Source organism: Homo sapiens, chromosome 18 (assembly GCF_000001405.40).
Source record: "Homo sapiens chromosome 18, GRCh38.p14 Primary Assembly".
In the NCBI taxonomy this organism is placed as follows: Eukaryota; Metazoa; Chordata; class Mammalia; order Primates; family Hominidae; genus Homo; species Homo sapiens.
In genome coordinates, this window is record NC_000018.10 from 77915778 (window position 1) to 77929511 (window position 13734).

At 37.2% G+C, this 13734-nt stretch overlaps 1 annotated feature.

Annotated features, from left to right (window-relative positions):
* Positions 2242-2476: a silencer, noted in NCBI's record as "fragment chr18:75629975-75630209 (GRCh37/hg19 assembly coordinates)". NCBI's record gives its function as "represses an EF-1alpha promoter that drives an FKBP-Casp9 reporter gene in an ReSE screen in K562 erythroleukemia cells {active_cell/tissue: K562}" and the evidence as "EXISTENCE:reporter gene assay evidence [ECO:0000049][PMID:32094911]".

Below are 13734 nucleotides of genomic sequence, written 5' to 3' on the forward strand. Positions count from 1 at the left end.
CCTGTGGGTGTCTTTCACCACCAGAGGGTGAGGTCTGCCCAGGTGGGCTCAGCAGCCCTGGCATAGATGTCGAGGAAACCCAGAGGCCACAGAGCACAGGCTTACTAGCAAAGGCAGCTCCCCTCTCACCCCCTGAACCCCTTCAGCTACCGAGCGTGGATGAAGCCAACATTCTAGCTCTCACACAGTACCTTAGAGGAGGGAAAGGCAGATACAAAATAAAACCTGTTCTCAGATATAGTGGGGGGAAAGGTAATTGTAAAGTGCCATCAATGCTGCATGGAAGGAAGTAAAACCCCAGACAGAACATTCTATGCTTAAGCCACATGAAAAGGAATTTCATGACAGCAATATAAAAAAGTCTGCAGGTGAAAGGTCAGAAAAGAAAAATACACACAATGTTTACTTTATAAGAAAACACTAGATATAGCCTTGAGATTGGTTTATAGAAAAGCTTGATAAGAATGTGGATTCAAGAATCAATTAAAAATGATGCAGAAACACGTTGACAAAGCAAGAGAAAGAGATTAAAAGGAAACTTTTAAACTTATAGAAATAAATTGAATATTAAGGCCATCTAATTATAAAACAAACAAATACATTGCCAACAGGAACAGAGTAAACGTAACTACAATTAAATAGTTTCAATGAATGAAAACCAAAAATATAGAAATTAAAATCAAATAGTAAGGCAAATAGATAGGAGATAAAGAACATCTCACAAAAAGATAATCACTATTCTGAAACAGAGATACCAAATTGTCATTCAGAAAATATATTCAAAGATATGAGAAATTCTCTGAAGTTAATAAAGAACTGTCTCTACCTATCAGAAAATAGATCATTTTCCAAGAAATATCCACCACTTACAAAATGTATACTACAGAAGCACACCTTATTTTATGAACTGCAAGGATAAGGAAATCATTTTTAGGCATCCAGATAGAAAAAAAATCAAATTAACTACACGAGAAAATGTCAGGTTGATCTTAGAATTCTCTATCACCAAAGGAAAGGAAACAATATCTGCAAAGTTATGAGAAATGACAAGTTGAACTAAGAATATTACATTGAATCATAATGCCATTCAAATCTAAAAGCAACAGGTGTCTCTAAATATAAAAGGCCAGTGGAAGCTTATGTAATCTATCTCTTGGCATGAGGGAAATTATCTGTTGATGAAATCTAGTCATATCACCTAGAAATTGTGTTTGGCTGAAAATCCATGAGACCTAATGAACAGTGGGCTCAGCAAACAGAAGTCTAGAAATGGGCACCCGTCACATCTTGAAAAGACATTTATGGATCCGGGAGCCTTTGGTCTTTCTGCTCTTTCGTCCAAAGCACAGCATTACACTTGTTTAGTAATTGTTACCACATGATGCAAAGATGGAAAGAAGGGCATTTACTTCAGTTACCTAATACATCTCTCATTCTCTGACAACTCTCTCTCTCTCTAAACTTCTCTAATGTTTTCTTTTACCCCAGTCTCCCGCAGAAAATGGCCAAGCCTCAAACGTCATTTACATGGATGTCTCAGTAGCTTTTGACAAACTGAGTCTCCCCTCCTTGAAGCAATTTCTTCATTTGCTTTGGGGACCACTACTGTTCTCATGTTCCTCTCATCTCACAGGACACAGACTTACAGCCTTGGTCTGGCTCTTCCTCTTGTTCTGAAGTCCTACATGTTGAGGTGCCAAGTTTCTGTCCTCTGTCAAATACAAGCAATATGTCTCTGACTCCCAAATTGATGTCTGAGCCCTGACCTCTGCTCTGAATTCCGGACTCATTTAGACAACCGCCTGCCTCTCATCTCCATTCAAATATTGAATACTCACCTCAGACTTCATACACATGAAACGTTACTCTTGATTCTCCTCACACTGCACAAAAAAATTGTTTCTTCCTGTATTTGTAATATCTTAATTAATGTCACCATGATTCAATGATACTCTCATGCAGGCATGTTTAATGCTCTCTCAATCTATGACACATCCGATGTTGAATCCTCCCGGCTCTGTGTGAACAGTGTTACAAGCCTCCCCGCCTCTTCTCCCTGACCATCCCCGTGATCCTGGTCTACACAGCCGTTTACGTTGCAGCCCTGTGCCCACTTCCAAGCCCCCAGGGGCTTTCCGATACACCAGGAGAGTCCCCCACCTTCCATTACAAAGTGCCCAGCAGTCTGGGCACTGTTCTTGCTTCGGGCCCGTCTCCTGCTGCCCCTCACCCTCTCACCCACCACTCACCCCAGCAGGCCATGTGGCCTTCTTGCTTTTCTCCAGCAGCCAAGCTCGTTGCTGCCTCAAGTCAAAGTTCTTTCTCTGTGTCTTCATCTAATTCATTCCTCTGTTTGATCCACAGCCTTCTCAAATGTCATCTCTCCAGAGAGGATGATTAAGGAATATCTGGCTAAAGCTGTCCTCTGAGAGACAACTTCTCTCTTCCTGGCTGTATTTTTCTTCAGAAAACTCACCATTACTTGACATCTGGCTGAGTTTTTATTTCTGTGTTGGTTCACTGTCCTTACTCCCAGCAGAATGCAAGCTGCATGAGGTCAGGATTCTCTCTGCACTCTTCTCTGCTGTGCCTGGTGGGGAGCTCATCAGTTCTGTTGCCAGAACAAAAGAACTGAATCAATCAGAAAACTTTTACAGAGAAATGGTAATTAGTCACGTATGTTTTTCTCCCATATGTGTTAGGAAAGAAACTTAGAATTATTTTTTAAAATGAGATAAACAAAAACAGAGGGTTAGGTTGCTTTATCCCCAATCTCCATTTGGCCTTTTGGAAAATTATTTAAATTAATTTTTCTTCAAATTTGAAGTTAATTTTACTCACTTTATCCAAGTGCTTAGAAAACAAATGGAAATTAGAGGCTAAGAGTCTGTTTTCTGGATATCCATGTCTTTTGTCTGACTACTATTTTGAAAATCAGGCTTTGTGAAAAAATTAGTCTGTATAGGAATATGGACATGATACAAAGTTAACTTTTGGCTGTAGCTACTTGGAGTGAAAGGGTGACCTGAACAGTTAAAAAAGATGCCTAACACAAGAAAACAGCTGAGAATTGAAAGGCATTTTAGATGACTCCACATGAAATGTGGATGCAGCTAATGTTTAACCCGATCCATCTTGGACAACCATGGTAACGGAAGCACTGTGCCAGGAAGGAAACAGAGGCCAATGTGATCATGGGAGACCCAGGGATCACAGATCTGGAAACTGAGCATTGATTTTCACTGGGAAAACAATACATGAAACCAGAAAATGGATGGTTTGTGGAAACTAAGTTCTCCAGACGTTTCGGGCAAGCGTGCTACTGGTGGGTGCTAACATGTGTCCTAGGATTGCTGAAGTCACTGTGAGGAAGCCCAGAGCAGCATCAGCTGCACCGATGACGCTGACCAGAGAGAGGGGCTCCTATGTGTGTCCAGGGAAGGCTGCCTCGTACTGAGACTCTGAACTCAAAGGACGCAGCCTCTAAGTCACTAGTACCAGTGACCAAGCTTGGGCGTCCTCCAGGGCCTCTGCCCATCAGCCACAGCCCAGAGCCCTGTGCCCAGGGCCTCAGAGAGACACAAATCAGGACAGACAGGCCAGATCCACTTTCCTCTCCTGAGCCAGCAGCTGCACCGTTGGGTCACTTCTGAAGAAATAAGGCACGGGGAGACTCTAAGTGTTTCAGTGGAGACCACTCATGGTGTCCTGAGAGCAGGTGATCGGGTGGGCACTGATGGACGGGCAGGCAGATGGAGGAAAGGTGGGTCGGTAGGAACGCGGACTTTGGAGATTTGAAGGGGCTAGGTTTGAATCCCAGCACATTCATTTATTAGTTGTACATGAATGCGGGCAATTGAATCTCTCTGAAATTCCTTTCTTCAGTTAGTGCATGTGGACATATAATACGCAATTTTGAGAACTGTTGTAGGGACCAAAGCGATACGTGGAAAATTTCTTGCGCAAACTCCGTGTTCATGTAGAGTTATTGCGATTCCCTTGCTGTTGTGCTTATAAGGAATTATAAAAGAATATGAAATATAAAGAAATTAGAGTGATATTTGTGAGAGGCAGGAGACGGGCTCGCAGAATACAGGATTCAGGTTATTCAGATAAAAATTCAGAAAGACACATTGGACAAAGCTTTGGAACATGCACTGGGTGGAGTCAGCCTGTATCTTTTGGGTGGTGAATGAATAAGCATTTTTTGAGTCTTGAGCATTTCAGAAAGTTAAAAAAATTCATTTGAAGATCATTTTAGAATGCAAAGCTCCACGATGGCATATTATTCTACAAATGTTTACACACCCGGGGCTCAGCAGGGAAGGTGGGGCCATGCCGCCTCACACATGGTTTTCTGAGTCAGCCCAAGAACTAGCTCCATGTCCTAACGGTTTTCCCAATAAAGAGAATGCACATTTACTGTGAGCTTACACCTGCAGGTTGTCTGCATGCAATGACACAGTTCTCACAGCAGCCTGTTCTTACCTTATTGTTCACAAGTAGTGTTTGAACCCCAGAGAGGTTAAGCCCTTGTTGCAAATCTGTACTGGTTTGTTGGTGAAAATGTTTAACACTTAGTTCTCTGGGGGAAAACAGTCCTTCTCTGTGGTATGTGCCGATTTCCACAGTCAATATTGGCAGCTTGACCAACATCAAGGCACCAGCCCGACACCAAGCAGCTCGAAGTCCTCAGCGCCTGACCACCTGTCCTCCCAAGCTGACCGCCCTGTCCCGCACACCACTGGAGGCCACTACCAGGCTCCAGAACCGCTTTTCCAGAACGACTTTTCACTTCTCCCTGGTCTTTTCCAGCTTTACGTACAAGTTTTTCACTTTCCTCAAGATTTTATTTGAGATGAGTATATTCTAGAGCAAAACAAACAAAATTTTGAATGTCATTATTTAATTCACAAGTTATATTAGCATTTGCATTCAAGCTTGGGGTCTTACAATCAGTTTGCTGTTATTCCCATTATCTTATCTCCAGAACACACTTTTATTAAAAGAGGACTTGCTTCATGTTTACACGGAGTTCTTGTTGAATTTACAGAACATTGCTCATTGACTCCCAAAACCCAGGCTTTCCCTGAACCATGAGAACCTTGCTTTTGCGGGGATGAAAAAATAGCAAGAGTTCTAGTTACTGTTACCATATTTTTAGCAAAATCTTCTGGTGAGTTTACCTGCTGAGAGAGAAAATAACAATTTAAAATTACGTTAATATAATTTTAAAAGCGAACTATTATTTCTTAAGGTTTAGTTTGTGGTAAACGCTGCATAGATGATACTTTAAAAAACAATTATTTCTTAACCTTGAGCAAGGAACTTTTGCTGATGAAGGAGTTCAGGTGTTGAGATGTTAAATAACATGGAGCCATTTGGTGATAGATTGGGGATTGAAGCAGCAACTTCTGAATTAAATCCTTTTTCCTACATGAGCTTTAGGAAGGAAAGGTACTTGATTTCATTTTGGTTGCACAGCTGAACTTCATCAGGGACCTTTTCCCCTCAATGGACCAGGTTGAGCTCCCGATGAGCTCCTTAGAGGAATCTGACCGCATCCAAATTCCTTGCCCAAGCCTTTTGTTTTGTTTAACACCTGTTCATTTGCAGCACTCGATGCGTGCCAGACATTGTTCTAGATACAGGAGCAAGGAGGTGAAGACCAAGGATAGAAATTTGTGACAGAAATAAAAATATAGTGGAAAGAAATCAAACAATATAATATGTAAACAATATATTTTTCTAGAATAAAAGCTCCATAAGGCAGGAACTATTTCTGGCTTGTTCACCCCTTAATCGTCTCTGTAGAACAGGGAGGAAGCTACTAAATAATATCTAATGCATGCGGTTTTCATAAATGGAAGGCCATGGAATGGGGTATACAATTTGAATGCTTTAAAATACAGATAAAATAGCTTGGGGTGTTGTATTCAGTGTTTCTTTAGATATAGCCTTTATATTAAAGAAGTGTATTTACTAAAATGTATTCAATTATTTTGTATTACATTTTGCAAATAAATAATTAAAATATTTGACAACAGTTGACCCGTTGATGTTGCCTTTTTTTTAGGAGAAATTTGTGTGTATGTGTGTACACACACATATATATACAAACATACATATATAGACGCACTTATACATAAACATACCTATAGATGTATTTGTACATAAATATATATATACATGTATGAATATTTGCATACACATACAAGTACAAGCACATATGAAGACAGAGTTATATATCAAAATGTCAGTTATGTTACTGGAACTAGATCGCATATTTTACAAATTAAAGTCAGCTTGCTTAATACTATTTCTTAGGAAACAAGAGCGGGACATTTTTGGCATCATAACGGGACCCCTGTTCTCCAAGTCTGTGGCTTATAAGCAAGGATCTTGGGCGGCTGAGAGTGAGTTTCCTGACAATGGCCTATATGTCATGTTGGTTATTACTTTTTATTAGAAGGTGTTGGTGACCAGGCTCGCGCCTCGTAATCCATTTTGTTACTTTGTTTGCATCCTCCAGTCCTTCCTGAATGAATATGTGAAACGTCAGATCTCAAGTGTGATTGATGATTTTTCTGCATATGACTAATTTTCAAATCTATCTCAACCAAAGCCTCACTTCACCCACAGAGCCTAGATTTCATTCTTCTGCAACATGAATGAGGGAAACTCATCTGTATGTTGCACTTTAGATAATGGGATCCTCCTACCTGCTCCTGACAGCCAGGGAGGATATCTTAGCATAACATTTAATCATCTTCACACACACACACATGCATGCATAACTTCATGCTTGCAAAAATACCAAATGTCTCTGAACATGAAGCCCCATCTTCTGAAAACTGACCAAGCTAAAGCAGTATCAGCATTGGCCAAAGTCAAGCCTACTTTTATCTCTCCAAACTGAAGCGAACTAAGACTGTTACAATTTTGTATACAGCTTCAAGTTGCAATGCCCTATAGGAACAATTCTGCATGAAATCTTCAACCCTTTTGCTCCGTGTCCAGAAAAGTATGCAATGTATAGCAAACATTTCATTAAGACAGATGTAGAACTCCAAAGTACTTGCCAGTTTTAAGCCTCCCTTGAGACAGTAGGCCCAGGCTATTCTTGACACTTACATTTCAGTCCGTGTGGTATTGCCTGTGTTCCATTTTGAGTGTAGAAGAGATTAGACATCTTTTGTTCATCTGCCTGAGCCACAGGACATTCTGCCCTGCCTCTAACTGATTGGGTAAATGTGCACGCTCTGCCGGTTGCCAACCCGATAAGTGTATTTCCTTCTTCCATGCCAAAAAATATGGATTTTTTTTGTGCGTGAAAACAATGTGCCTGTGACAGTTAATTTTATGTGCAGATTTCAGACCTGCCAGTCTCCAAAATTGCATGAACTAATTTCTTAAAATTTCCTTTCTCTCATTGTACATGTGTATGCGTACATGTCTATGTCTAGTCTATGCCTATGTCTCTATCTATACCTATGTCTATGTCTATTATGTCTGTATACGCATATGTCTACGTATATTACCTGTCTATGTGTATGTATGTCAATATCTATGTCTCTATGTATATGTCTATGTGTATGTCTAGTCCGTATGTATATGTTGTCTGTGTCTACGTACATGTCTATGTCTATGTGTATTTGTATGTCTCTGTGTATGTGTGTGTGTGTCTGTATGTCTATGCCTATGTGTCTATGTCTCTTTGTGTATGTATATGTGTATATCTATTTGTATGTCTATAGCTATGTGTGCCTATATCTATATGTATGACCATGTCCATGTCTGTGTCTGTATGTGTATATATATTTGTATGTCTCTGTGTATAAGTATGCCTGTGTCTATGTGTGCGTCTATGTCTATATGCCTATGTCTATGACTGTACCTGTGTTTATGTCTACGTGTATGTCTATGTCTATATGTATGTACACATCCTATTTGTTCTGTTTCTTTGGAGAATCCTGACTAGTAGAATAGCCACATACAAATACTTAACTTACTTCCAGTTCGATTCTGTCTGTCATAGTAACAACTCGTGGCCAGTGACAGCTAACTGAAGAATGACTGAATGAGGTTTTGGAAAATGATCTTGTTTTCTTGTTAAAAACAAATGCTTTTTCTGGCATGGCCCCCTTTCTCCTCTTCATCCTCTTCCCTTTCCTCTATCTAGAGAGCAAAACTAGCAGTTCCTTGGATTTTAGAAGCACGTCGACTGACTAAGCAAGAAGAGCAAAATTAAACATATTCCCAGATATATTGTAGTAAACTGCAGAACATCAAGTTAGAAGAAAACCATAAATGCGAGCAAAGAGAAAAGACTGATTATTAAACAATTCAACTTGTAGTTGTCTTCTCATCAACAAAAATAGAGGCTAGAATACAGTGAAGAACATTTTTAAGTTGTAAAGAAAAATAGCTATCTACTTAGATTTCCACAATAAAATAATTTTTTAACTTATAACTAAAGATAAAATCAATGTGTATTCAAAGATTCAGAGTGTTTATCACACATAGACTCCAAATCAAAGTAAAAATAAGGAAGGTAATTACAGGGAAAGCAGTTGTTCCTTAGAAGGAAGAAAATGAGATGTGGAAATGAAAGTCACAAAAAAAGATGGTGGTAAACACACATATAAATGTAAATAAGCATCGACTGTATAAAATGACAATATGATTAATAATATCATGCAGTTTAAAATTAAAGTGGGGCATTATTTCTGGCAGTATGATAGATTATATTTCTAAACAAAATATTTTCCTATACCTTTTCCTGAGAACAAATGAAAAGGCAGAATATTTGAGGTTTGCAACTGATGGCAAATAGGAACATGACGTTATGATCGGCGTTCACAGCTGGCGGCCACGGCAACGCAAAGGCTCTCAGAAACTCTTGATGGGACACATCTCTTGTGACAGCTTAGAACACCGACTGCTTGCAGAGAAAGGAACTGAGAAGGAAATGGGACTGGTTAGGAAATTCAGTAATAACAAGAAAAACAGCATCCTTTGAGAATCTGGAATGATAGATCTCTGTGATTCTGTCTTGACTTCAAATGTATGATCTCAGTTTGGTTATGGGAACCCAAGTAGGGTGTTTCAATTTAGATAATACCAGGTTGTTACTCTCTTTCAGTGCCTGAAAAAATAAGTAAATATTATCTGTGTAAGTGAAGCCTCAATTCAGTACACAGGATTAAGGTAAATAATAATAATAACCAAAGGATGATGCCATCATATATGAGGGCAAGCAGAAATCCAGAGAAAATAAGGACAAATTGGCAACAACAAATTAGACCTTCTTGTACTTCAGGGAACTGAATAATCCCAAATAGTTTACAAAAAAAATAATAATTCAGGATATAAAAGATAGGATTAAAGATAAGCAAGCCATAATGCATTAGAAAAAGTGGTTAAGTAGAGGCTAGGTGCAGTGGCTCATGCCTGTAATCCCAGCATTTTGGGAGGCCAACGCGAGCGGATCACTTGACCTCACAAGTTTGAGACCAGCCTGGGCAACATGGGGAAACCCCACCTCTACAATAATACATTAACTAGCCAGGCATGGTGGCACACACCTGTAGTCTCAGCTCTTCAGAAGGTTGAGGCGGAGGATAGCTTGAGCCTGGGAGGCAGAGGTTGCAATGAGCTCAAATTGCGCCACCGTACTCCAGCGTGGGTGACAGAATGAGATGTTGTCTCAAAAATTTTTTTCAAAAAGTGGTTAAGTAGATTTGAAAAATAATCTTATTTGTTAAATAATTTATTTGTTTTAGAACTTATTTAATCTACAATTTTACAAGTACAGATGTTGCAGATAAAAACAAACTAACAAAAATAATGGATGTTTAAGACATCAGATTCAAATCAGCCAAGAAGTAAATCAATGAGCTGGAAGATATATCAGGAAAAAAAATTACTCATAATAATAGGTGGACAAGGTAAGGAAATAATGAAAGATAAATTGAGATAGAAAAGATAAAACAGCAAGGTTTAACATAATCAACATTGATAACAGTGCAATAACAATAATCAATGTCCCAGAAAGTTAGAATAGAGACTGAAAGATAGGTAATAATCCAGCAAAGTCTAATATATACATATTCACCAGTTTAAAGGTACTGGTCTAAGTGTTATAAATGTTTTAACTCTTTAATAATCCTATAATGTTTATAAATATTTATAAGCCTATAATCATATAATATTTGTGAAATTATTGTTCCCATTTTAAGTATAAAGAGACTGAGGCATCAGAAAGTCAAGTAACTTTACCAAGGTCATGGTGTTCTTAAATCATAAAAGCATGATTTGAACTCTAAATGTCTGCCTGCCGAGCTTGGACCATCAGTCACTCTGGAGCTTGAACTTTTAATCACTCTTCTATTTGATAGAGTAATGACTAAAGAATTTCCCACAATTTTTCAGGGGTAAATTTTCTGAAGTACCTAAGTTTTTCAGTAAATCTAAATCTGTTCTACAATCGAAAGTTTATTATAAATCTGAAGTAGATATGATGGAAGTCAAGGGTGGAATCTAGGGAGGAGAGATGACGGTGTACGTAGGAAATGTCAGGTCTTTGCTTTACAGAGTGTGAAGTCTGGAGAAATTGTTTAAAGATTTAAAATTTAAGTGAAAAGGTAATGACAGAGGAAATAATGAAGGGCTCTATATGTGTATTTACACACATACATCTGTATGTATATAAGTGTTATATAATACACATTTTATATACATTGTAATGCAACATATTATGGCTATATAAAATTATATATATAATTTACTAGAATATATAATATTAATTATATATAATTTAATATAGACATTATATATTTCATTGTAATATATAATATATGACATTCTATGTAATATAATAATCATATATTAATATGTTATATTATATACTAATATTATATATTAATATTATATTTACCAATATTATATATTAATATTAATATAATATATTAATCATACATTAATTAATATATGATTAATTATATATTAATCATACATTATATCATATAATCATATAATATTATATATATATATTATATATAATATATATGATATATATATAATATATCATATATATTATATATAAATTAACATATGATTAATATATGATTAATATATGATTAATCATATTAATATATGATTATTATAGTTAATATATATAATATATATATATATAATATATAATATTATAGTTAATATATATAATTTTATATGGCCATAACATATTGCATTATAAGCCAAAATATGTTGCATTTTATATATTTATATATAAAATATGTTGCATTTTATATATTTATATATAAAATATGTTGCATTTTATATATTTATATATAAAATATGTTGCATTTTATATATTTATATATAAAATATGTTGCATTTTATGTATTTATATACATATAAAACTACAACAGCTAAATCCACATTTATCACAGCAAAACCTCAATAGACTCTCTATACATTACATAGACAAAAAATGTAGGCGAAGCATATGATTTAGCAATGTAAGGGGATTCTTTATTCACCAAAATGAAAACCAGAAATACGTAGGAGTGATGCCTGGGATGATTCTGGGAAGACGACACGAGGGAACACCAGGGCTCCTCCCCACAGAGACAACACTTTCATGGCAGAATCTGTTTGATGTAACTATTTTGGAACTCTGGAGGCCATTGAAGGTTTCCAACTTCCAGGGAAAAGCGCGGGCATTAAAGTGTGGTTAATTTACAGCTCACAACAGAGTAGCAGCTACTCATCCCAGCTAGCCCCACGGCAGGCAGCTGCACACGTGTTTCTGCACGCAGCTTGTGGAAACCAGGGTAGGCAAATAGACCCTGTCCTCCAAATATCAAGGATCTGTGCTCTGCTCATCTATTGCTGCTTCTAATCAAAGAGGTGCAGACAAAGTGGTCATTGTTGTTTAACCTTCCCCTATGGTGGCAGGCCCCTCCCACTCCAGCTGAAGTGACTTCCACGGAATTTAAAAAGTCTGGCGAGACATTACAGGTTAGTACAAAAGCAACTGCATATATGGGAAAAATTAGAAAGTGATCTAAGACTCAGAAAAAAACCTGAGAAGACCCTAAGTTTACACCTCAGGCTGATCTTCAGCACAGAGAGAACTTACAACGATGAAAACAGGAAAAAGAAAATCACTTAAAAAACATTAAAAAAATAGGGAAAAGGGAGAATTTGATTTTTAGTTATCACAATTTTAGATGCAAATGTCCATTTTTCAACAAAAAAATTCACAAGGCATACAAAAAAATAAGGTGTGGCTCATTCAAAGGAAAAAATTAATCAATAGAAACTGTCCCTGAAAAAGACTTAATGAAAGATCTAATAGACAAAGACTTTTAAAAAATTACTTTAAAGATGCTCAAAGAAAGGAAGGAAGATGTGAAAACATCAAGAAAACTGTGTAAACAAAATGAAAATATCAATTTTTTTTCTACAGAAGACAACCTAAAAAGAAACAAACAAAAAATTCTGGAGCTGAAAAATACAATAACTGAAATAATTCACCAGAGGGCGCGGGCGCAGTGGCTGACGCCTGTAATCCCAGCACTTTGGGAGGCCGAGGCGGGAGGATCACGAGGTCAGGAGATTGAGACCATCCTGGCTAACATGGTGAAACCCCATCTCTACTAAAAATACAAAAAATTAGCCTGGTGTGGTGGCGGAGCCTGTAGTCCCAGCTGCTCGGGAGGCTGAGGCAGGAGAATGGCGTGAACCCCGGAGGCGGAGCTTGCAGTGAGCCGAGATCGCGCCACTGCACTCCAGCCTGGGGGACAGAGCGAGACTCCGTCTCAAAAAAACAAACAAACAAAAAAAAAAAACAATTCACCAGAGGGACTCAAAGGCAGATTTAAGCAGGTAAAAGTAATTATTAGTTTATATTTTTGGTCACAGAAGAAATAAAAATATAATTTTGTGACATCAACAAAGGAAAGTGTTGGGAACAGAGTTATAAAGAGCAGAATTTCTGTATGCCATTGAAGTTAAGCTGGTATAAATTCTAATACTGTTATAACTTTAGAATATTTAATGTAATCCCCATGGGAACCACAGGTAAAATAGCTATACAATATATGCAAAAGAAAATGAGAAGGAAATTTAAATGTTTTACTATAAAACTCAGCTAAACACAAAAGAAGACAGTAATGCAGAAAATAAGGGAAAAAAACTATAATGCATAATTGAAACAAACAACAAAATGACAGAAGTCAGTCCCCCCTTATCAGTAATTACTTGAACTGTAAATGGATTAAATTCTCTGATCAAGACAGAGATCAACAGAATAGATATTAAAAAACAACAACAGCGTGATCCGATTACATGTGGTATATAAGAGAATACTTTAGATCCAAATATGCGAATAGATTAAAATTGCTGACATGCTACAACATGAGTGAACTGTCAGGACATTGCACTAGGTGAAAGAAGGCAGTTGCAAAAACACAAAAACCATTTGATTTCACTTAAGTGAGATACTCAGAGCAGACAGAATCATAGAGACATAAAATAGAATGGTGGTTACTGGGCTTTGGGAAGAGAGGAATGGGATGTTATTGTTTAATTGATATAATTTTCAGTTTTCCAAGGTGAAAAGAGTCAGGGGGATGGCTGATGGTGATGGTTGCATAAGCATTATTAATATATTTATTAATACATTATTTTACACTTGAAATGGTTAATGTGCATGTTATATGTATT